Source organism: Homo sapiens, chromosome 1, assembly GCF_000001405.40.
Source record: "Homo sapiens chromosome 1, GRCh38.p14 Primary Assembly".
NCBI classification, from domain to species: domain Eukaryota; kingdom Metazoa; phylum Chordata; class Mammalia; order Primates; family Hominidae; genus Homo; species Homo sapiens.
Genome location: NC_000001.11, coordinates 181,002,709 through 181,027,614, shown reverse-complemented (window position 1 = coordinate 181,027,614; position 24,906 = coordinate 181,002,709). Strand labels below are relative to the sequence as shown.

The following is a 24,906-nucleotide window of genomic DNA, read 5'->3' as shown; positions in this document are numbered from 1 at the left end:
CAATGTGGTATATATACAATGGAATATTAGGCTTACAAAGGAAGGAAATTCTGCAATATGTAGAATGAATGAATGAACCTTGAAGATATCATGCTAACTGAAAGAAGCAAATCATAAAAAGACAGATCCTGTATGATTCCACTTATGTGAGGTACCCAGAGTAGTAAAATTCATAGAGACACACAGTAGAATGGTGGTTGCCAGAGATTGTTGGGGGAGAATGGGGAGTTGTTTAATGGGTATAGAGTTTCAGTTCTGCAAGATGAAAAGAGTTCTGGACATTGGTTGCACAACAAGGCAAATATATTTAACACTACTGAATTGTACACTTAAATATGGTTAAGATGGTAAATTTTATGTTATGTGTATTTTACCACAATTAAATTTTTTTTTTTTTTTGAGATGGAGTCTCGCTCTGTCGCCAGGCTGGAGGGCAGTGGCGTGATCTTGGCTCACTGCAACCCCTGCCTCCTGGGTTCAAGTGATTCTCCTGCCTCGGCCTCCCAAGTAGCTGGGACTACAGGCACGCACCACCAAGCCCAGCTAATTTTTGTATTTTTAGTAGAGATGGGGTTTCACCATGTTGGCCAGGATGGTCTCGATCTCTTGACCTTGTGATCTGCCCGCCTTGGCCTCCCAAAGTGCTGGGATTACAGGTGTGAGCCACCATGTCCGGCCTCATAAATTTAAAAAATAAAAAATTTAAAAAATAAAAAATTATTCCCATATATGATCCAGTTGTTCCTTATAACAGGCTAGTGAAGGAGCAGGCTGAATGTCATTATTTCAGAGTAGGGGAGATCCCCTTGTAGGGGTGTCATGGCATTCCCGCAGCTTCCAGGGGCAGGGGGTGGCTACCCACTGCAATCCCTCTCAGGTCTATCCTGGCATCCCCAGTGATATGGTTGGCTCCTTTCTGATCCTCAGCTCATTTGGCTGCCTGTGCCTTATTCTCTGTGTTGCCATCTCCTTATTTCTGCAGAAGATGCATTGCAGGACCCAGTGTGCTCCCTTCCTCATTCACTCTCCTAACTTTGGAGACTCACTCAGGAACCAGAGGTTCTCCTGGCTGCCCACTCAGAACTCTACAGAAAGCTCAGAGTTGGCATGTCAACCTCCCCCAGAAAAATGAACAGAAGTTAAGTCCAATTAAGAGTTTCGGTTTGAGGAATTCTGACAAATGATACTCTCATGTAACACACACTCCGTCAAGATACAGAGCATTTCTAGTACCCAAGAAAGTTTCCCTTCCCAGTCAAACTCTGTCCCCCAAGACAACCACTGTTTTGATTTTTTATTCCCTGAGAAATTTAAATTATTCTTTTGGGTTGGGGGTGGGGTAGGGGTGGGGGTGTGGGAAGAGATGGGTTTTTGCTGAGTATTCTTCCCAACCTATTGTTTATGCCAGGACGTGGGTCCTATTAAATGAAAAAAAAAAAAAAGAAAGAAAGAAAGAACCTCCTTTGTTTCTCCTTGCATTTTAGCCATAGCTTCCCTTTCCTTGTGGGCAGTGGAGGCCAAGGTCTAGTTTGAGAGAGGGTAAAGGAGGGTGACACATTAAAGAAAGGAACACCTACACACACACACACACATACACACATTTTATATCTTGACACTCCACTATCTCCATTGTTGGTGCTTTTTCTAATCCCCTAATTATGGGAACCCAAGCCTCTGTCCTCTATCTTCTATTACTACTTATAAAACTCTGGCCTGTCATATGTGGTCCAATTAAGAAATTCATGGAACAGATAATAAGAGGCCGTGTCAGGCACTTAGGTGATAATAACATTAACATAGTATCCTGTCCCTCCAGGAGTTTACTGTTTGGTGGGGATAAATGACATGCTAACAGCTAATTTACATTCACCCTAAATCAAATCCTCCTCTTGTGTTCTCTTTCTTGATGGTTGGAACCAACACTACCCATTTACAACCCCAGAAGCCTTCCTCCCTCTTCTTTCATCAATTCCCCCATACCCTGAACCAATCAGTCACCAAGTATACTAACTTTGCCTCTAAAGTATGTCTCAAATGCATCACTCTTCTCCACCTTAGTTGTCACAAGCCCAGCTCAGGATACCCTCATCCCTCCTCTGGACCATAACCTCCTAGCCACTGAAGCATCTGTCTCAAATGCCAATCTGACCCTGTCAATTCCCTCAGTCCCCATGGGGAACTGTCCATAGGAAGCGTCCACTATTCTGAACATTACAAACAAGGGCCCTGATAATCTGACCCTGTCCACCTCCAGGCTTAGCTCCTGCTGCCCCCATCCTTTTCCTTCTACTCCAGCAACATGGCCCCCTTCTCCTGGCTGCTTCTAGTCACTGCTTAGGAACCCCCTGCCCCAGCCCCGAAAACACACAAATATACTGGTATCTTGTCGCTGTGTTTCTATGGCAACCTGTGCCCTTCTCTCACTGTGTGTCTCTCCCACCAGTCTGTCTCTCCCACCAGTCTGACAGTTCCTTGAAGGCAAGAACCAAGCCTTGTTCATGCCTGTGTCTCAGTGCTTAGCACACAGTAGGAGCACAACATGTGTCAGGCACTGTTTTAAGCACTTTTCACACATCACCTCATGACACTCTATAAGGAAGCTGTTATTACGGTGTCTATTTCACAGTTGAGGATAGTGAGAGATGAAGCGGCTTGCCTGAGATGCAACAGTCAGGAAGCAGCAGAACTCAAGCAATCAGACTCCAAGGATGGTCTTCAACACCATGCTCACCTACCCCTCAATTTACATGTGCTTGTTGAATGAATGAACGATGACACGTTTTCACCTCCCCAGCTAAGTAAATTAAACAGTTCTCTCCCAATAAACATTAGCAATCACTAGTATTGGACACTGCTTCCTTTCCCCACATCTGCCTTCCATCATTCGCTCCTCCAGGGATTTTGGCTTTCACCCCTCTCTTCTCTCCCCTCCTGAAACCCATTCAGCCCCTCATCATGTCTAGGTGTTTAGTCTTGTTTTCCTTTTGAAACATCTGTCAGATTCACTCCTTCTCTGTTCTCAATCGCTGTCATCCTGGTCTGGACCTCATCCCTTCAGGCCACATGACTTTAGCAGCGTCCTTACTGGTTTTCCTGACTTCAGTAACTTAGTCCTTTGGGATCTTGAGGTTTACACACATTTTTATTTAACCATCACAACAACCCATGAACTAGCTATTATTATTTATGTTTTATAGATGAGGAACTGAATGATAGAGCCAAGGTTTAAACGGGGTTTGTGTTGCTCCAAGGACTGTGCCAGCTCCAGACTGGTGACCTTGGGCAAGTCACTTAACCTCCGAGTCTCAGATTTCTCATTTATAAAATGGGCATGATAGCAGTAATTATCACATTGTAAGAGCAACTGAGATAACACTTAACATCCTGCCTGACACACACACACAGTAAGTGCTCAATGATTTTCAGCAATCAAAGTCCACAATCCCCATCCACAAATTTCATAGCATATCTAGCATATGAGTTGGTTAATGGTTCTGGGCAAAATGTTTTCTCGAATAGCTCTTGAACCACAGTGAGAGGAAGTTGTCATACCTGGCCCCTTCTTTATTCCTCGAAGGTGTGCTCTCCTGGGAAGCACCATATGCTGTATGAAAAATTACTTTACATGGTTATTTGCAGAATGTACAGCAACAGAAAGTACACCCCATCTGGTGGAAAGTGCACAGAATCTGCAGTTCTGCCCTGTCCAGGCTGTGTGACTACAGGAAGTCTTCAAGCCTCTCTGAACTTATTTTCTTATCTACAAAATGAGAAAAATGGATGGTGTGGTGGCTCACGCCCATAATCCCACCACTTTGGGAGGCAGAGGCAGGAGGATCATGTGAGCTCAGGTGTTCAAGGCCAGCCTAGGAAATATACTGAGAGCCCCATCTCTATAAAAAATTTAAAAATTAGCCGGGCGTGGTGGCGCTCACCTGTAGTCCCAGCTACTCGGGAGGCTGAGGCCGGAGGATCGCTTGAGCCCAGGAGGTCAAGGGTGCAGTGAGCTGTGATTGTGCCACTACACTCCAGCCAGGGTGACAGAGAGAGACCCTGCCCCCCAAAAAGGGGGAGGGGGGAATAATACTTTCCCCCAAAGGATACTGAGATGATGCATACACAACCTTTAGCACACTGTCCAACACAAAGCAAGACCTACTTAAAGGATCTGTGTAACATTATAATCAGATACTATGCTTCATTTTAAGTCGAGGACCAGATAGATTTATAAATTACATACTGTCAAAATTAAGTATTAAAAGTAGAGGAAAGGTAAGAGGATTTTGCAAATCAGGTACAACTACAGCTTATCCTGAAAAGCCGACTGCCTAGTTCTGAGGGAACAAGCCACTCCTCACCCTCAAGCTTGAGGAGAGGGCTGTAGAAGCCCGCCCACCTCCACCGCCCCGAGGGCTCCGCCTCCAGGGCCGAGGGACGCAGGCGTAAGCCCCGCCCACTGGGGGGGGGGGGAGAGAGAGAGAGAGAGAGAGAGAGAGAGAGAGAGAGAGAGGAGAGAGAGGAGAGAGAGGAGAGAGAGGAGAGAGAGGAGAGAGAGGAGAGAGAGGAGAGAGAGAGAGAGAGAGAGATATATGCCCTGGTCACGTGAGCGGGGTGCGGAAGTCGTGTTTCAGGCGGCGTTCGTGATTGGCCGCGGCCGAGGGTCCCGGGGGTGGGGTCAGGCCCTCCGACGCTTCGGGAGGAGCCGGGACTGGAGGCTGCCGAGGGGGCCGGCGCCCGAGTCCGGGATTCGGCCAGTGGTGCTGAGCGAGTGCTGGACCAGCGGCCGTCCTGTGCACCTGGCCTGTGCGCGTGCCCGCTGCTCGGCTTCACCCAGACTAAGGCGCGGGCAGCTGCGGGAACAGGCGGGGTGGGCGGAGGGAGACCGGGAGGCACGGGCGCCCTGTGCGCGGAGGAGGTGAAGGCGGCCGGGGCCGGGACGCCATGTCCATGGAGGACCCCTTCTTTGTGGTGAAAGGGTGAGTGTCGGCCGAGCGCTCCACCGGAGGAAGAGGTGGCGGTGCTGCCTGCCCGCACCTCCTAGGTCTTCTCGCAGTGGGGGGAGGGGAGGCAAGTTGGAGCTGGGGAGGGGGAACAGTGGAGACGGCTTAGTCTTGAGGGCCATGACCAAGCGTCAAGAGACGTTCCCTCCATCCCTACCTGGACCGTGAAGCCACTGTCCCCAGCCAAGCCCCTGGTGGTGGGGGGCCCTTTTTGGCCTGTGTGCTGCGGTACAATTTATTTGGGGGCCGAGGGGCTCAGCAGCTCTGCAGGTGGGGAAGGAGACACGCGGGTCCTGGCGCACACTGGCCGTCTAGTCGAGCATGGGATCTTGCTTCGAAGGAGCGAAAACAGCATCTGGGCAGGAAAAGGGAAATGGCCCTCCTGAGCTTTGTAGTTCGCGTTGACGGGGGTGAGCTCCATTGTCCATTGAGTTTGGAGCGCTTGTCCGCAGACTGGCGAGACCACAACAAGCCCAGAGGCGTCTGAGCACGTTTGCTGGGAGGGAGGCGGGGGCGGGGGCCGTTCTGGGAGGCTGGGGAGCAGGGCACCGGAAGACAATTCAATGGGGGAGTTTTTACTGAGTAATGTGAGGAGAGGAAAGCAGTCGTTCATACTCAGTGATGATTTGGAAGGAAAACAAAATGAAACAAGCCAAACCAAACTTTCCTCAGCTTTCTATTAGCAACCGGAATTTTCTCACAGTGCTAAAGGAAATGAGTGTTGCTTGTTAACTCCTTGATTTCATCCAGGTTGTTTGACAGGTTTCTCCTATTTCTTCTGCCTTTCAGAATAGAAAGGACTGCCTTCTGTTCCCTTACAAGCTATCCTAGCTCATCTTTGATTGCTCGATTGTTTCTTTGGAGATAGAGTCTTCAACTGCACTTTGTAATATCCACTTCGTAGCCATTAAACACATGCAAGAAGATCAATTCTGATGTAACTTTTAGTTTCTTATTAGAAACTTGTCAGTTTTCTGTTTTAAATGTCAAACATGAAAAATCTGAAAACTGCAAAGTTCCCAGGTCAGTACTGATCACCACAGAATGTCCCTTGCTTTTTACTAGTTGCTGCTAGCTTCCTATTTCTGTAGTGGTGCAAGCTGGCCGTTGTATAGTCAAGTGTTGTAGAAAATTTAAATGGTATTTTAGGTGAAATACTTTATCGATTATGCAGTAAAATACATTTATACTACTTCTTAATATTTCCCTGGAAAGTTTTTTTTCTTCACCTTACTCTAATTTAGATGGGAAAATGCTGAGTTGTAAATTTACTGGTAATATGTGTATCCCTACCTAGAAAATGTGATATTTATTAGAAGGATTGATTTAGGGGTTAATTTTTAAAATAGATGTTTTTTCCTTGATTGAAAGTTCTTAATGCTTAGGTTGGCAAAGGTTATCTCTGGCGGTAGAGATCAGAGATGATCAGAAATTTTTTGTTTGACTTTTTATGGAATTTGTCAAAAGCCTAAATTCTTCTGTCTTGGCATTTTTTTTTCTTGATGGTATCCTATACAGTCTACTAATGCTTGCTCACTGATTAAATATCACTACTTTATCGGAACATTGGCTTGGAGGGAGTTTTGATTGATTTTTACATCATTTTAGCTCCTATCTTTAAGGTTCTTGAAGGAAAAGAGATTCTCAGTTCCTTCTGCTGTGGAAAGGTAAAGTCACCCATGAAGGTGTATCCAGATTTTTGGGGAGTCATGTACCTGTGTTTATTAAAAGTATCAAAAATGCATTACACAGCATGCAAAAATTAAAGGTGCCTAAATTATGGCCCTTAGCCTAGGAGCTTCTGGTCTAATCTGAGAAACAAATTACCCCAAAATTAAATAGAAATGACAGGTGGCAAATGAATGAGTGTTGAAGTGAATGCTACAGATAAGTGCCTCAGGAGTTCAGAGAAAGGTAACTCCTTGGGAATTGTTAGGATTAGGAGAGCTTTTGGAGGCAGTAGTGTATCTTGAATTAGGTTTTGAAGATGGGCAGAATTTAGATAATCAGGCCTGTCTCTCTTACCTGGATGCTTATCAGAGTCTTTTTAATTGTTCTTCCTGCTTCTGGTCTCATTTCCTCTTTCAGCTGTCCTGGGATCTATTGGATCATTGCTGTCCAATAGAAGTATAATGCCAGCCATGTATGTCATTTTACATTTTCTAGTAGCCGCAGTAAAATATAAAGGAACAGGTGAAATTAATTCTAATGTAATCTCTAATACATTCAAAATATTCAACATGTGATTAAAGATTATTGATGAGATATTTTACTTTTGTACTAAGTCTTCTAAATCTGATACATATTTTACACTTACTGCACATTTAAATTTGGACATTAAATTTTCATCAGAAATAATTGATCTGTATTTAAAGTTCATTAAATACATTTTTTTTTTTTGAGACAGAGTCTTGTTCTGTTGCCCAGACTGGAGTGCAGTGGTGCAATCACGGCTCACTGCAACCTCTGCCTCCCAGGTTCAAGCGATTCTTGCACCTCAGCCTCCTGAGTAGCTGGGACTATAGGTGTGTACCACCTCACCTGGCTAATTTTTGTATTTTTAGGACTATGGGCAGGGCACCCGCCACCACGCCCGGCTAATTTTTTGTATTTTTTAGTAGAGACGGGGTTTCACCATGTTAGCCAGGATGGTCTCGATCTCCTGACCTTGTGATCCACCTGTCTCGGCCTCCCAAAGTGCTGTGATTACAGGCGTGAGCCACCGCGCCCGGCCTACATACTCTTTAATTGTTCCAAACATACATAAAAGGTTTTTGATAACTGAATTGCTATCAGTTACCAAGTTTACATTAATTAAAATTTAATTTCTGTCACACTAGCCACATTTCCAGTCAGTAGTTGTATGTGGCTTCCGTGTTGGACAGCACAGTGTAAGCTTTTCTAGAGTCCTAGACAGGTGTACCCTACTTAATATTATTCAGTGGCTGCTGCTGGCCTGCAGAATAAAGTGCCAACACTTCCTGACCTCACTGATCTAGCCTCTGCTCTCCCTTAGCCTTAGTACTCCAGCAGTGCCAGACTCAATACAGTGACTGTGATTGCTGTACTGGATGCTCTTACTCTACATGCACCCACACTGCCTGATTCACCCACGCAGCTTTCTGGAGTCAGTGTAAGCATCTCCCTTGCCTCCAGGAAGTGCTTCCTTTGTCACCCCTAATTATTGGACCTCTTCCTCTGTCTCTCTTTCATTATTAGACTATGAGCTCTGAGGTTTGGGACTGTTTTTTTTTTTTTTTTCCTCTGTATTTCCAGCCTACACCTTGAATATATAGTGTAAATGTTGAACACATACTCTTTGTTGATGGTGGTGATTGTGATGGAATGGTGCCTCATGGGTGAGAACACCACCAGCCAAAGGCCTAAGTTGGGCAATGTGTGTTAGAAATGATCTGGAAGAGCAGCCCAGGTGGAGTAGACAGTTTAGGGAAGTAGTAACAGCTCACATTTAAAGGATGCATCTCCAGTGCCAGGCATACATGTAAAGTGCTAAGTAAGCACTTTATATGAATTTTCACTCTGTAAAAACACCCATATGATGAATACTAGCCACATTTTAGAGATGAGAAGCTGAGGAAGTGTTAGAGGGGTTAACTTACTTGCCTAGGGTCACACAGCTAATAAGTGGTGTACTCAGGCTTCAAATTAGAACAACCTGATTTCACACTACTGTCAATACTTCCCAGTGCAGGTAAAATAGGGTCAAGTTATGTTGGCCTAAGGAGAATCTCATCTTGAGGCCATTACAGATTTTTAAAGCAAGGAAATGACATGAAATTAGGATTTTAGGAATATTGATTTGGTGGTAGTGTTGGATGCATCAGTGTGAGGAAAGATGAAAAAGGAGACCAGTTAGAAAGCTGTTGTAACTTATACATGCAGTGGTTAGTGCTTGGAAGTTTGAAGCTCCTTTTGGGAGGTTTTGACATTGTCAATGTCCTGTTCGGAACAGAATCCCACAACAGGGATTGCTCTTTTATCCTTATGAAGTAGGTATTATTATTGTCATCATTTCACAAAAAGGAAAATGAAACTTAGTAAAAAACTTCAACTTTATAAGCTTGTACGTAGAAGGGCCAGGATTTATATATTTATTACAAATATATATTATATATATAATATGGTCATTTTAAAAATTGGGATTATACGTTATATATGGTTTTATCACTTTTTCTTTTCTTTTTTTTTTTTTTTTTTTTTTTTTTGGGACAGAGTCTTACTCTGTCGCCCAGGCTGGAGTGCAATGGCGATGGCGTGATCTCAGCTCACTGCAACCTCTACCTCTTGGGTTCAAGCGATTCTCCTGCCACACCCTCCCAAGTAGCTGGGACTACCAATGTGCGCCACTATGCCTGGCTAATTTTGTATTTTTAGTAGAGATGGCATTTCACCCTGTTAGCCAGGCTGGTCTTGAACTTTGACCTCAGGTGATCCACACACCTTGGCTTCCCAAAGTGTTGGGATTATAGGCATGAGCCACCGCGCCTGGCCTGTTTTATGACGTTTTCATCTGTATTTCTTTATATCCTTCAGACTTCTGGGTGGCAGCTTTTAATGACTGCATTGTATTTTGTCATATAAATGTTCATCCTGGAAGATACATTATATTTATGATCACACTACAATTAATGTGGTGATAAGCCTACTTGTCATAGGTCTGTATTGCTGCTTCTGATTTTCATAGCCTGTATTCCTGGAGCATAATTGCTAATTCAGAGGGCAGGCACAGCAAAGCGTTTGATGCATACTACCACGTTGTCCTCCAGAATATTCCCCCTTGCCCCTCAAAGTGTTTGAGGGACCCAATTCCCTTGATTCCAGTACTGGGATTTTCATTAAAAAAATCTTTACTAATCTCCGGGTGAAAATATCATATTTAAATCTTGTAGTCTTCATCTTTGTATTCAGTAAGGATGTACTCAGTGTTTGTTGAGTGAACCCATTTTGATTGTTTAGTTCTGTAGTTTTTTTCCTCCCTTGTTGGCAAGTTTTTAGAATTAGCCTCCTTTTAGAATTTGCACCTTCTAATCAGACAAACCCTGAAGAAAACCATGTAACTGAGCATGTGGAGACAGAGTATAAGTGAGCCACTCCTGTGGATAAAAGGTACAAATACCATGGCTCTTTGCTATTTTATTGCTGTGGAGGTTTTGTGTGTCTGATGAGGATAGTTTTTTGTTTGTTTGTTTGTTTGTTTTTTTGAGACGGAGTCTCACTCTGTTGCCCAGGCTGGAGTGCAGTGGCGCGATCTCGGCTCACTGCAAGCTCCGCCTCCCGGGTTCACGCCATTCTCCTGCCTCAGCCTCCTGAGTAGCTGGGACTACAGGTGCCCGCCACCACGCCCAGCTAATTTTTTTTTTTTTGTATTTTCAGTAGATACGGGGTTTCACTGTGTTAGCCAGGATGGTCTCGATCTCCTGACCTCGTGATCCTCCCACCTCGGCCTCCCAAAGTGCTGGGATTACAGGCATGAGCCACTGCGCCCAGCCGAGGATGGTTTTTTTGTTTGTTTGTTTGTTTTTGAGACAGAGTCTCATTCTGTCACCCAGGCTGGAGTGCAGTGGCGCGTCTTGGCTCACTGCAACCTCCGCCTCCCGGGTTCAAGCACTTCTCCCTGCCTCTGCCTCCCGAGTAGCCCGCCATCACGCCCGGATAGTTTTTGTATTTTTAGTAGAGACAGGGTTTCACTGTGTTTACCAGGCTGGTCTTGAACTCCTGACCTCAGGTGATCTGCCCGCCTCGGCCTCCCAAAGTGCTTGGATTACAGGCATGAGCCACCGCACCCAGCATGATAACAGTTTTATTTCCAGGTTTTTGGCTGTGGATTGATGTTGAAATAATGACATAAGTAAGCTGATGAGTAAGATGGTATATGTTATGTTGTGTTCTTTAACCTTCTCTGTCTGCATATCTAGCTTTATTAACACTAGATTATGAGCTCCTCGAGGGCATCACGCATTCTATTCACTGTTGAAAAACTGTATTGGTATAGTCACTGTGAAAAAAATAACCCTTGTTTGTTAATTTTGGCCTAGTAAAATTGAATGTAAATCAAATTTAATACTTTCTAAAAAGCAGAATCCAGTGTTTCGTTGTAAGAACAAATTTGCAAGCCTTTATTATAAATTTGAGTGTTTAATATTATTTAGCTCCTTAGTTTGGAGAACACTATGCAGATAAGTGAAAGATATATTGTGTAAGATTTTGCAGTAGAGTTGAGATGCTGTGGAGATTGAAAAAAAAAGAAAGACCCATGCTGGGAATGCTGGTCAATCTGGGCCTTAAAGGAAGTGTCTGCTGAGGTGTAAGGCTCTTCTAGGCTGGGGAAACAACTGAGTGGAAGTCAAGAACCAGGAATGAGAAAGATAAAGATGGGAAGAAGACCTGCCAACTGAAACAGAATTTGTTCAGTGAGAAACCATGCTTGATACTAAAGTCAGCCAGTTTGGGTTAGGAGGAGGAGTGGGAGAGGGTTTGAATACCTGCCTGAGGAGTTTAAATTTAATCTGATTTCTATCATAAATTCTAAATCAGGAGGCAGTTTTTAAACTAGCAGTTACTATTCACTTGCTTATAGTCAGCTTTTAAGGGTTCAAACCCAGATCTTCTGATTCTACAAAGAAAACAGATTTGTGGGCCAGGTGCGATGGCTCATGCCTGTAATCCCAGCACTTTGGGAGGCCAAGGCAGGCGAATCATGAGGTCAGGAATTCGAGACCAGCCTGGCCAACATGGTGAAACCCCATCTCTACCAAAGATACAAAAAATTAGCTGGGTGTGGTGGTGGGCACCTGTAGTCCCAGCTACTTGGGAGGCTGAGGCAGGAGAATTGCTTGAACCCTCTTTTGCAGTGAGCTGAGATCACGCCACTGCACTCCAGCCCTGGTGACAGTGCAAAACTCCCTCTCAAAAAAAAAAAAAAAGATTTGTGTGGAAGTTTTGGAAAAATGCAATTAAATAAGTCTTGGTAATAGAAAGTGTCTTATAATCAGGGTTGGAAGAACTTGAGGCAAGCAGCCAATATGTCTGAGCCCCAAGGTCTCTTATTTATGTTTAAGGAGCACAAACTAGATTATCTTGAAAGTTCTTTCCAGATCTGAAAATTCAGTGATTGGATTTAAGTAGAGGTTGTGCAAGGTAAGGAGGAGGAGGAGTCAAAAATGACTCTTGTCTAGACAAGTGTTGAAACTTGGAAAATGGTGGCACTATTGGCTAAAATGAGGAAGCTAGAAAGGGAAGCAGATTTTTCTATTTTGTTTGTTTTGAATACATTATGTTTTGTAGGGAGGATATGATTAATTTGGTTTTAGGCAAATGGAATGATCCTATAGGCAGCTAAAAATATAGGAATTAAGCCTGGCTGAGTGGTTAGGGTTGGAAGTATAGTGGGGGAGTCATCAGCTTAAGAGGGGTGCTTTGAACTTGTGAATGCTGATGAGCACATAGAGGCCACAAAGAGTACTGAGAAACATTGGGATCCAGTGGAGGAAGAGGAAGGAGAAAACTGGTAGAAAACTAGAACAGCACAATGTCACAGAGACAGAGAAAGTGAGAGTTTCAAGCAAATAGATATAATGGGCCATAGTGTCAAGTGCACCAAAAATGAGGACAAGTTAAATTCACTCGTGACTTTGACCTGCAGTGTCATTGGTGGAGTTGTGGAAGCAGCAGTAAGTTAGGGTCAAAAATTGTATATAATTGTAGGTAACTGAGTAAAAATGATGTTTCATTTTCACAAGAGTAATTACAAAATATGTCACAGTGTGGTTGAATTTGGAAATGGCAATAAAGTCAAGTAAAGGGTGTGCATGTGTTTCCTTTCAAATACAAACGATGTGAATGTAGAAGTCAAGCAATAAAAAGAGTTCCTCTCTTTCTGGAGAGATGAGTGGTGAAACCAGGTTTGTGGGGTATGGGGCAGGAACCAGTTGGAGAAGAGTGAGGAGTGGGAGTCTGATGTGTTGCAGAGGCTCACTCAACCTGAATTTTTCATGTTTCATTACTAGAATGGAAACTTTCAGCCTTGACTAGCCTCTTTTACTGTATTGATGAAATGGGGATCCCTCTGTAAAGACTTGCAGAGTAGGTGCTGTCCCAGATAAAAGAGTTGTGGCAGATTGTATTTTTTCCATTGATGGCTGCACCAATAAATGTTCTGTCCTGTGTTGCTTTTCTTTCTTTTTTTTTCTTTTTTTTTTTTGAGATGGAGTCTTGCTCTGTCTCCCAAGCTGGAGTGCAGTGGTGCAATCTCGGCTTACTGCAACCTTCGCCTCCTGGGTTCAAGCGATTCTTCTGCCTCAGCCTTCTGAGTAGCTGGGTTTACAGGTGCATGCCACCACACCCGGCTAATTTTTGTATTTTTAGTAGAGACGGTTTGACTGTATTGGCCAGGCTGGTCTCGAACTCCTGACCTGGTGATCCACCCACCTCGGCTTCCCAAAGTGCTGGGATTACAGGCGTGAGCCACCACGCCCGGCTGTTTGTTTTTATTAAATTGTGAAGCTGGCATTCTTTTATCAAACTGGAGTTTGTATTCCCTTCCTTTGAACCTGGGCAGACCTTTATAAACTGCTTTGACTAGCAGATTGAAGCAGAAGTGACGCTGCTTGACTCCTGAAGCTTAAGTCATAAAAGACAACCACTATACCTTCCATCTGCATCTTTCATCTTGGAACACAAGTATAGGCTACCCTGAGCTAACATGTAACAAGTCCAGTTACATTGAAGCCACTCTGTTAGAGCATGTGTGCAGACTGTGGAGAGATAGAGAGATGTGATGCCTTTACAGCCCCAGCCTGTTTAATATTTTCAGCTGAGGTCCCAGACATTGTGGAACAGGGACAAGTCAGCTCTGCTGTGTCTGATTCCTGATCTACAGACTCCATGACATGATAAATGGTTGTTTTACACCACTAAATTTTGGGGTCATTGTTAAACAACCACGATAACTAGAACATGCCAATTCAGAGTCTGCCAGCATGGGCAAAGAAGAAAGGATAAATCAAAACGATGAAGGGGGAGGCCAAGGCAGGAGGATCACTTGAGGCCAGGAGTTTGAGATCAGCCTGGGCAACAGCGAGACCCTGTTTCTACAATAAATAAAAAAAATTAGCTTGGCGTGGTAGTGTGCACCTGTAGTCCTAGCAACTTGGGAGGCTGAGACGGAAGAATCCTTTGAACCCAGGAATTCGAGATTACAGTGAGCTGTGATTGCACCACTGCACTCCAGCCTGGTTGACAGTGAGACCCTGTCTCAACCACAACAGGAAAAAGGATGATGGGGGTTGTGGCTACACTTACGCAATTTGTTGGTACAACTGAATGACAAATACTGGGGAACAAAGCTCCCTAATGGCTGAGATACTCTTTCTTCTCATTTTACTTGGCAAACTTGGTTAGATGCAAGTAAGAAAACTTTGTGATTTTTTTTTTTTTTGGACTGTATTTGGACTGAATGTATTACTTGTGGCCCCAGAGGCTAGTTTGGTGATGTACCATATTGGGAGGTTGTATGGAAGAGGCTCAACTATCTGACGAGGGATCAATGTTGGGCTAACTTCAAAAATAAATGAGGTTGGTTTGCCAGAATCAACTTTTTATTTATGAAGAATGGAAGAATTGGCTGGGCGCGGTGGCTCATGCCTGTAATACCAATACTTTGGGAGGTCAATGTGGGTGGATCACCTGAAGTCAGGAGTTTGAGACCAGCCTGACCAACATGGAGAAACCCCGTCTCTACTAAAAATACAAAATTAGCCGGGCGTGGTGGTGCATGCCTGTAATCCCAGCTACTCAGGAGGCTGAAGCGGGGTAATTGCTTGAACCTGGGAGGCGGAGGTTGTGGTGAGCTGAGATTGTGCCATTGTACTCCAGCCAGGGCAACAAGAGTGAAATTCCATCTCAAAAAAAAAAAAAAAAAAAGAATGGAAGAATCTGAATGCTCAGATGACTTTATTTTGTTTTTCCCAAAAGATGCATTCTTCAAAGATGTGGGCAGTGTTTCCATTTTTGACAGCTACTTACTGGGAAAGTTCTGCATTGCAAGTGGTCCTGTGGGCATTGTGGTGACTTGCCATGAAGAGCCTTCATTCTGGTGTCTGTAGGGAGTTTAATCCTTGAGAAGATGACAGGTTCCATGATTTTGATGGGCTGTTTTGTAGACAGCAGGGAGGAAAAGCCACATCCCTAGAATTGCCAACACTGGCTCTTGGTATCTACGAAATGCTACCTGTATCAGATGAAACTGATTTGGGCAGCATGTGTGACGGATAGCGCAAGATTTGCTTGATGTGTGGAGATAGCCGTCTTTCTCTTTCAAGGATTTGAAAAAGGCTTCTCTGGGTCAGCAGCTAAAACTATAATTCCTAGGAAAGTCATCAGCAAGTTTTCAGTGAAATGCTGCCAGATGTGATTCTCCAAGCTGTGGGTGAGCAGATTGTTATTTACCAAGAAGTTTGCTAAGCTGAAGAACTCTGACAATTCAAGGTATACCTGCTTCAAGGTATATACTGCTTCATGGTATATACTCTCTCATGGAAAGTTCTGGGTATCAAACTTTAATTTTTCTGATTACATAGTTGAGGAAAAAAATAGCTAAATCAGACATAAAGATAAGGGATAAAGAAGCACTATCTGTGATTGTCACCTTTCTGGAGACAGACAAAAATGGATCTCTGTTGCCTGAGCAGTCAGCAGTTGTATCTGCTCACTCAACGGGAAGTGCTCCTCAAAGTGAAGTGCTCCTCCCAAAGTGAAGTGCTCACACGGGCTAGTTGTGTAGAACGGACAACAGTGGTGGGTAGACATTTGTGGGTCATGCCTCACTAGCCAACTGATACTGAAACAACTCCCTTGCCTTTCCTGAGAAAGAAATGTGAAATCAAGTAGATGGGCACTTCTCTTATAAAAACCCTCACAAATCTCAAATAGGTGACATGATTATATGTTACTGTTTTATGAATTGACTTACTTGGAATGCCAAGTAATCTTCAGTTTTTAGTTGCAAGTACTTACAAGTGGTTCTGGATTGAGAGGGTTGTCTCCCTGGTTAGATTTGTACATTATTAGGTGTGTCTTGTGGCTCTTGAAGCTGTTAGAAATCCCACATGCTTTAGAAAATTCTGGTTACCATTAATAGTTGGCTTCCAAATAAGACTTGTGACCAACATTGTTTTCTGCTTCCAGTTCATGCCTTCTTTTTCAGGCTAACACTGAAATGATATTGGAAGAACAGTTGGGAGGTTTTCCACTTAGAGAGACCTCTTTGCTTGCTATTGAGATGGGATTCCCTGATACACTGCAGATTCTGGCTGTCTTTCAAGATCTGAGCCATTGCTGGCAGTTTCCACCTTTGTGATCCCTTAAAACATCCATCTTAAAAATGTAAAATAACGACTAGTTTACCTTTCTTATGTCTGTGTTACTAAATGAAAACTAAACATGAATCCTCTTTTTAAAAATAAGAGCTTTAGAATGGAATAAGCCAAGTTGCTGGTCAGGCCTGTAGGGTGCTGAGCTTTATTCTGCAACTGCTTTGTAGCATTTTTCTAATTCCTGCCATTTCTTTCATTTTTTTCCTCAGGACATGCTTTGCTTCTTGCATACTTAAGGATTCCTTGGCTTCACACTCAGTGCTACTAGAATCCACCCATGCACACTCCTCAACTTCAGTCTAACAGTGTCTTAAGACATTGTAGTTCTGAAAGCATGGCCTGTAAATCACAAGGGATCCCCAAGATCCTTTCACAGAAAGATCCACTAGCTCAAAACTCTTTTCATGATAATATTCAGATATTATCTGCCTTTTTCACCATGTTGACATTTGCACTGATGGTGCCAAAAAAAGCTGTGGTGGCTAAAACTCCTGGTGCCTTACCAAAAATCAAGGCAGTGGTGTCGTGCCATGCTTTCTGTGGTATTCCTCATCAGCTTGTACTAACAGTAAAAAAAAAGAAAAAAAAGAGTCATATTCCCCTAAGAATATTCTTCATGAGGCCGGGCGCGGAGGCTCACACCTGTAATCCTAGCACATTAGGAGGCTGAGCCGGTTGGATCACTTGAGGTCAGGAGTTTGAGACCAGCCTGGCCAACATAGTGAAACTCTGTTTCTACTAAAAATATGAAAATTAGCTGAGTGTGGTGGCGCATACCCATAATATCAGCTACTCGGGAGGCTGAGGCAGGAGAATCGATTGAACCCGGGAGGTGGAGGTTGCAGTGAGCTGAAATGGCACCACTGCACTCCAGTCTGGGTGACAGAGTGAGATTCTGTCTCAAAAAAAAGAATATTCTTCATGAAACAGTAAAAATTAATAATTTTATAAAATCTTGACCCTCAAGTATAATTTTTCTCATTTTTTTAAAGTTATAATTTACCTACAATAAAAAGCAACCTTTTTGGTGTACACTTCTGTGAAATTGACTAATTCATATAGTTGTGTAATCATCACTTCCACAAGCAGGATATAGCACAGATCCATCACCCCAAAACGTTTCTCTGTATGCCTTCTGGTCCTTCCCCCATGTCGAGCACCTGGCAAACACTGAACTGTTTTCTGTTCTTATAATTTTGCCTTTTCCGGAATGTTATGTCAGTGAAATCGTATAGTACGTGGCCTTCTGAATCTAGCTTTTTTCACTTAGCCTAATGCATTTGAGATTCATCTATGTTGTTGTATGTAGCTGTAGTTTGTTCCTTTTTATTGCTGAATAGTATTCTGTTATACATATATACTACAGTTTATCCACTCATTAGTTGAAGGACATGTGGGTTGTTTACAATTTTTGGCTGTGTGAACATAAGTTTTCATTTCACTTAGGAGTGGGACTTTGGGGTATGGTAAATATATGTTCAAGAAACAACCAAACTCTCTTCCAAATGGCTGTACTATTGTGCTTTCCACCAGTAAGGTATGAGAATTCCAGTTACCCCACCACCTTTCCAGCATGTTGCATTGTCATTTTGTTTTCATTTTAATCCATTCTAAATATGTAGTAGTATGTAATTGAAGATTTAATTTGCATGTCATTAATGATATTGGGCATCTTTTCCTGTGCTATTTGTCATATGTATGTCTTTGGTGAAGTGACTGGTCAAATCTTTTGCTTTTTTTTTTTTTTTTTTGGAAACAACAGTCTTGCTCTGTCACCCAGATTGGAGTGCAATGGCACGATCTCGGTTCACTGCAACCTCTGCCTCCCAGGATCAAGTGATTCTGCTGCCTCAGCCTCCTGAGTAGCTGGGATTACAGGCACCCACCACCATGCCCGGCTAATTTTTTTGTATTTTTAGTAGAGATGGGGTTTTACCATGTTGGTCAGGCTGGTCTTGAACTCCTGACCTCAAGTGATCCACCTGCCTTGGCCTCCCAACATGCTGTGATTACAGGCATGAGCCACTGCAGCTGGCTTTGTTTAATTGGGTTTTTCTTATTAAGTTTTGAGAGTTTAAAAAAATATATATTCTGGATATGTCATTAATCAGATATATAATTTGTAAATATCTTCTCCCTTAGTATATATTTTAATATTCCACTGGCAAAATGGAAGTTTGCGTGAAGCATTTTTGTGATGTATTGTTAAATAAAATGGTTGTCTCTAGGAAAAGCACTTATGTGATTGAGTTGTGAGTTGAAATAGCTGTTTTCCCCCCGCCCCGAGCAAAATCTCATTTTTACTGGAGAGAATGACAAACTGGTTTCTCAGACTTGCAGGCTTTCTCAAATCTCAAATTTATCTAAAAAATTCTCGAGATATTTTCTCACAAATGAGTGAGGTGAACCTGTCACTTCATGGAAAATAAATGACAGTATTTTTACCAGTGATAAAATTAGAGCCTTTTGTTTAAAAAAAAAAAAAAAAAAAAAACAATTTTGGAAAGCTTATATCAACTACTATGCTCTTACAGATTTCCAACACTTAAGTTTTTCTGATGAAACTGGTGGTGATAATAACAAATATGATTTTGGATACTGTGTATTGAAATGAGCTGGCATTTGGAGGTTCTGCAATACTCAGTAGACTAATACTTTCCTAATGACCACTATTTGATGTTATAAAATCATCCAAAAGTAAAAGATCCAAATTACAGGTTGAGCATCTCAAATGTGAAATGTTCCAAAATCCAAAACTTTTTAAGCACCAACAAGATGCTCAAAAGAAATGCTCACTGGGGGCATTTTGGATTTTGGATTTTCAGATTGGGGTGCTCAACTGGTAAGTACAATGCCAATATTCTAAATCTGAAAAAATCCCAAACATTTCTGGTCCCAAGCATTTTGGATAACGGAATCTCAGCCTGTACAAGATTGACCAATGGATCGTAGTATAAGGGAAACAAAGCGCCCTAATGACTGAGATACTCCTTCCCATTTTACTTGGTAAGCTAAGAAAAACAAGAAAATTATTACTGTAAAATAAGAAAATCTAAAAAGTTCTTTAATACAGTTTTAGGATCCACATTGCAGCTAACCTTTAACAGCCAGTTGTCAAGTTTTGGTATACTATCAAAAAAGTACATCCACAATTGTCCGAAAAGACTATTAAAATTCTCCTCCCTTTTCCAAGTATGTATCTGTATGAGGCTGGATTCTCATCATATGCTTCTACCAAAATGTATGTCCACAGACTGATGGTAGAAGTGGATATGAGAATCCACATTTATTGAAGAGATTTGCACAAATGCAAAACAATGCCATTCTCACTACATTTTTTTTGTTTTAGAATTTTTAAAATAAAAACATTGTTAACATGTAAGCTCACATTTTAAAGTTGACAAATATTTTTAAAATGTCTGTTTGAATTCCTAATATAGTAAATAGATTAGATACATAGTATACATAACTCTGAGCTCTTCGGGGTCTTCAGTAATTTTGAAGAGTTCAAAGGAGTCTCCTGAGACCAAAAAAGTTCATAGATTGCTACTTAGAATTTAATTCCAGCATCATCATTGTGTACTGGTGGTGGAGAACAAACCTAAGCCCTAGCCCAAGGCTTCTTGGTTTGAGGCTTCTAGTTCTCAAGAAGGAATTCATATTTACTTTACAGAATTGATATATTTTATATTCTTTAAAAGATGTCTTTACAGATAACCTCTTCAACTCTGTCTTCCATTATCATAAATGATACTCAGTACTTACAAATAAACCAATGCAATCAGCCCTCCATCTCTGTGGGTTCCAAATCTGTGGATTCAGCCAACTCAGGATTGAATGTATTCAGTAAAAAAAGAATGGTTGCATCCCTACTGAACATGTACAGACTTTTTTTTCTTGTTCCCTAAACAATACAGTATAACAGCAATTTACATAGCATTTAAATTACATTAGGTATTATAAATAATCTAGAGATGATTTAAAGTATGTAGGAGGATGTGCGTAGGTTATATGCAAATACTATGCCACTTTATGTAAGGACTTCAGCATCTGCAGATTTGGTATCCTGTGGAGGTCCTGGAACCAATCCCCTAAGGATACCAAAGGATGACTTACTTTGCATTAAGGAATGATACATAGCTCTTTCTCCACTAAATCACCCAGATCCCATAAAGAGTAAAGAAAGTAGATTTTCACCTCACTTAATTCTTCCCCATTTTATCTTAAATAGGGTTTCTCATTAGCACTGAAAGTCTAAAGGCTGACATGAAAGGAACAATGAGGTGACTTGCCTAAGCCTTAAACTAGATGAATAGACGTTGGTAGATTTGTTGTCCATATAGTTTGCTTATTTACTCAGCCTGCACCTAGAAGCTGTATTCTCTGTTTAACGTTCCGCCTCTTAGCTCTCATCAGTATGCCATAGACCTAAATATTGTAAGGTGCTTTTTTTCATTTTTGTTAGCGCTTTCTTTTTTCCAATACTTGAAACGTCAGAGGGTATAGGATGCGTGTGAATTCTGTTTTAAAGCCATAGACAACAAACACCCTAATCAGCTAGAACACGTTTTTGTGGTCTTTGTTCCAGAAGAAATCATAGAAGGATCAAAACAGTTCTTATAGTTCAGGAGCAGTGGGATTATCATCTTTGAACATGAGAGACCATATGATTATAAAATGACTCCTTTTTGGCTTTTATATGTGATAGTATTAGATTATAACATTTAAATAGTGGATATTGGCCCAATGGTGGGGGTAAAAGTTCTTAAAATCTTGTGACTATATCTAATCTAAAGGCATGCTAGATCATAGCACTTAATGGCCTAGTCTCATTCTCTAAACAAGAAAAACACTAATGTGGCTGGGCGTGGTGGCTCATGCCTGTAATCCTAGCACTTTGGGAGGCTGAGGCAGGTGGATCACCTGAGATCAGGAGTTCAAGACCAGCCTGGCCAATCTGGCAAAACCCCGTCTCTACTAAAAATACAAAAATTAGCCAGGCGTGGTGGCGGGCACCTGTAATCCCAGCTACTCGGGAGGCTAAGGCAGAAGAGTCACTTGAACCCGGGAGGTGGAGGTTGCAGTGAGCCAAGATCGCACCATTTCGCTCCAGCCTGTGCAAAAGAGTAAGACTCCCTCTCAAAAACAAAACAAAAACAAACACTAATCTGGTATATGGTATTGCTTAATTAAGGAAAGTAGGTATATTTAAAGCTAATAATGTTTGGAAATTGAATGAGATTTTGGGTTTAAGAATTTCTCGGATTAAAATACTTAACCTATAATAAAATGGTAGCTATGTAAGAGTAACCTTCCCTCCAGCATTCTCATTCCTCCCACACCAAGAAAAGAAAGGCCATATTAGGACTTATCATCTGAGTATAAATTATTAATACTGTCACACCAAGTGGAAGCATGTGGGAATGCTCATTGCCCTTTAGTTAATTTGTAGGATTGCTTCATTATACTTTTACGTATAGTCTGTTCAGAGAAAAATATTAAATTTGTCCTTCCCCAACAAACTTGATATTGTAGCTGCTTAAATAATGGCTATTGTATTCCAAGCATCAGCTGAGAACATAATACTCAGACTGTGTATCAAAGTTTTGAACTTTGATATTTGTCTGTGAAGAGCCTTCTGTGGGAATGGTGGTTGCTGAGGATGGTGTATGATCATAAATGTTAACCTAAATCATGCAGTAACTTGACCATGGAATGTTGTCTGTGATTTCTCTCCTTTGCCTCATCTTGATTACAGAGAGGTACAGAAAGCAGTCAACACTGCCCAGGGATTGTTTCAGAGATGGACAGAGCTCCTCCAGGACCCCTCCACAGCAACAAGGGAAGAAATCGACTGGACCACCAACGAGCTGAGAAATAACCTCCGGAGCATAGAGTGGGATCTAGAGGACCTTGATGAAACCATCAATATCCTTTTCTGTGGTGTCTGTGCCATTCGGGATAAATAGACAAATGGACAAGTTTTTCTCCAGTTGTTTCCAGTATGTAGATGAAACATTTTATAATCGATTAATGTTTGTTGCTCTTACTTGTACCATGACATGTTTAAAGTATTTGCCCAGTAACTTAAGGTACAGTAGCCAAATTCTTATACAGTGTGTGACAAATCCTGTACTATAAATGTATATATATATATAAAGGCAGCATAGTGTAATGATTATGACTGTGGACCCTGGAGTCAGATTTCTGGTGTTCAAGTCCTGCCTCCACCAATGTAAAGGGAAAAAAAAAAAACCCTTTTTTTCTTTTTTTTTTAAGTCTCTACCCTCACACTCAAGTCAGTATGATATTTCTGACACTGTCTACTTGGAGATAGCATCAGGTCCACAGGTTAAGAGCTCAGTCCCACAAGACTGCCCCCACTTCAGATGCCAGTTGCAAGCCCTAGGTTGTGACCAGCGCTTCCAACTGACCACGTATAAATTGGAGTTCCCACGACCCCCTCCATAGATCGAATTAATTTAATTTGCAAGAGCAGCTCACAGAACTCCGGGAAACAGTTTCCTTAGGTTTATCCATTTGTTGTAAAGGATATTACAAAGGATACAGATGAATGACCAGATGGAAGAGATGCATGCAAGGTATGGGAGAAAAGGTGCAGCACTTCCAGGCCCTCTTCAGGTGCCTCCAGGAACCTCCACATGTTCACCTATCTGGAAGCTTCCTGAACTCTGTCCTTTTGGTGTTTGTGGAGGATTCATTTCGCAGGCATGATTGATCACATCAGTTGGCCATTGGTGATCAGCTCAGCCTTCAGCCCCTTTCCCCTGGGGTGGGGTTAAGCAGGGGGCTGAAAGCTTCAACTGTCTAATCACATGGTTGGTTTCTCTGGGGACCAGCCCCTCGTCCTGAGGCTATCTAGAAACCCCCAGCCATCAATTATCCCATTAACATACAAAAGATACTCATCTGGAGATTCCAAGGGATCAAGGAGCTGTGTGCCAGAAATGAGGGGGCAGAGACCGAATTTGCATTTATTACAGTATCACAACCAGTTACCATGTGACTTGGGCTCATCACTTAACCTCCTGTGCTTCCGTTTCCTCTTTAGTGGAAAGTTAGGATAACAAGAGTACCTAGCTCATAGGATTATTGGGATTATACAGGTAAAGAGTTTAGAATGGCACCTGGCACACAGCTTATGTAATAGTGTTAGCAGTCATTATCATATAGAGGTCCATACAGGCCAGTGTTACACTTCGGTAATTAGAGATCAAAAAATCTTTTTGTAGACTGTCTTCATGTTTAAGAAGTGATGTTACAGTGCTACCGTCCATTGAAGAGATGTCTTGTTCCATGAAACTGCATTTAGTAAAAGCAGATCTGCTCTGCTAATTCATGGTATTGATGTGAAGTAAGTCCACTGATCTGACTCATGCACTGGAGAACTGTAAAAACTTCATTATATAGCCTTTTTTTCCAACTGGAAATCCCACTTAACCAAAACTTTAGATGGAAGATATGCCACTTGCATGTTCTGAGTTCTGTTTTGTTTTTTCCCTAAGTGAGATAAAACATAAGGAAACCAGCTTCTGTCAGGATCACCTTATAGTTAGCACAGGTTCGTATGCAGTTGATACATGGAGTAAATAATTTTTGTTATTCATGATGACCCTGGTACCTTTTACATTATTAAAAGGCAAGTATGTTCTCTAAAATTAGTGGCAAATATGTGAGGGGGCAGGATCAAAAGCACAGTTACAGGGAGATAATTCTTCCCTTGAGAAAGGAGGGAAGGAAAAAAAGTTAGGGGAGATAGAGAAAATGTGAGATTAAAAAAACAAAAGTTTTAATAGATACTCATCATTCAACCAGCAAGTGTTTATTGAGTATACTATGTGCCAGGCATTTTGTTGGTTACAGAGATTAGATTAATAAACACTATACCAGCCCTCACAGAACTTTGAGTGGATAGGGATGGGGGACAGATGGTAATCAAGTAATAACACAAATAGATACCTGCAGACTATGAACGAGAAGTATAGAGAGCTATGCAAGTGTCTGACATGGTGCGTCGGACCAGGCTAGAGGGTAAGGGAATGAGGGCAGCTTCTCTGAAGAAGGCCCGATCTCTCTAGATTAAGAAGTAGGGTTAGCATCTTGGCATAATGGGAAGTGGTTTGGAATGGCAGGAGAAAAAGGCTTGCAAAAGCTGTCTTAGTAAAGGTGATCAGGAGTCAAAAAAGGATAGACACAAGTGTTGGCAAACAGGAAGAGCCCAGCTCACCTGTGGTCAGATAGCCCTAAGTGTTTGCAGTGAAGCTCATCAGCAGGGGCTATGCTTCCTAACCAGACAGATCATCTCTGTCTTGGAGCAAAGGGATCCTCCCTCCTGTGGCTGTGGGCAGAGGAAGTCTGAGAATGATTGGTGTCCAGCTGACTGTGTTTTCAGAAAGTTTGAGCCAGATTTTATTTGTTTGCATGTGAGAGATTCAGTGAGTTAACAGGATGTTGTCAGGCTTTGATGATGAAATTGTTTTACCTTGACTTTT

The 24,906-nt window shown here is 42.2% G+C and overlaps 1 protein-coding gene across 2 annotated transcripts in view, besides 3 other annotated features; it reads left to right on the top strand.

The window, feature by feature from the left end:
- Positions 4,222–5,005: an enhancer, noted in NCBI's record as "NANOG-H3K27ac-H3K4me1 hESC enhancer chr1:180991746-180992529 (GRCh37/hg19 assembly coordinates)". NCBI's record gives its function as "activates a minimal SCP1, AML or CMV promoter by ChIP-STARR-seq in primed H9 embryonic stem cells {active_cell/tissue: H9 hESC(primed)}" and the evidence as "EXISTENCE:reporter gene assay evidence [ECO:0000049][PMID:30033119]".
- Positions 4,464–4,563: a silencer, noted in NCBI's record as "silent region_1600". NCBI's record gives its function as "represses an Ori minimal core promoter by ATAC-STARR-seq in GM12878 lymphoblastoid cells {active_cell/tissue: GM12878}" and the evidence as "EXISTENCE:reporter gene assay evidence [ECO:0000049][PMID:35858748]".
- Positions 4,684–4,813: a silencer, noted in NCBI's record as "silent region_1599". NCBI's record gives its function as "represses an Ori minimal core promoter by ATAC-STARR-seq in GM12878 lymphoblastoid cells {active_cell/tissue: GM12878}" and the evidence as "EXISTENCE:reporter gene assay evidence [ECO:0000049][PMID:35858748]".
- The window catches only part of STX6 (syntaxin 6), a 50,146-nt gene continuing 29,984 nt past the window's right edge, over positions 4,745–24,906 (top strand). The window contains exons 1-2 of one of the 2 annotated variants that reach the window (NM_005819.6): positions 4,745–4,976; positions 22,152–22,321. In NM_005819.6, coding sequence (NP_005810.1) covers positions 4,942–4,976; positions 22,152–22,321 — 205 coding nt within the window. In that variant the 5' untranslated portion in view covers positions 4,745–4,941. The remainder of the gene's footprint in view (positions 4,977–22,151; positions 22,322–24,906) is intronic. The other variant, NM_001286210.2, reaches the window with a different exon arrangement.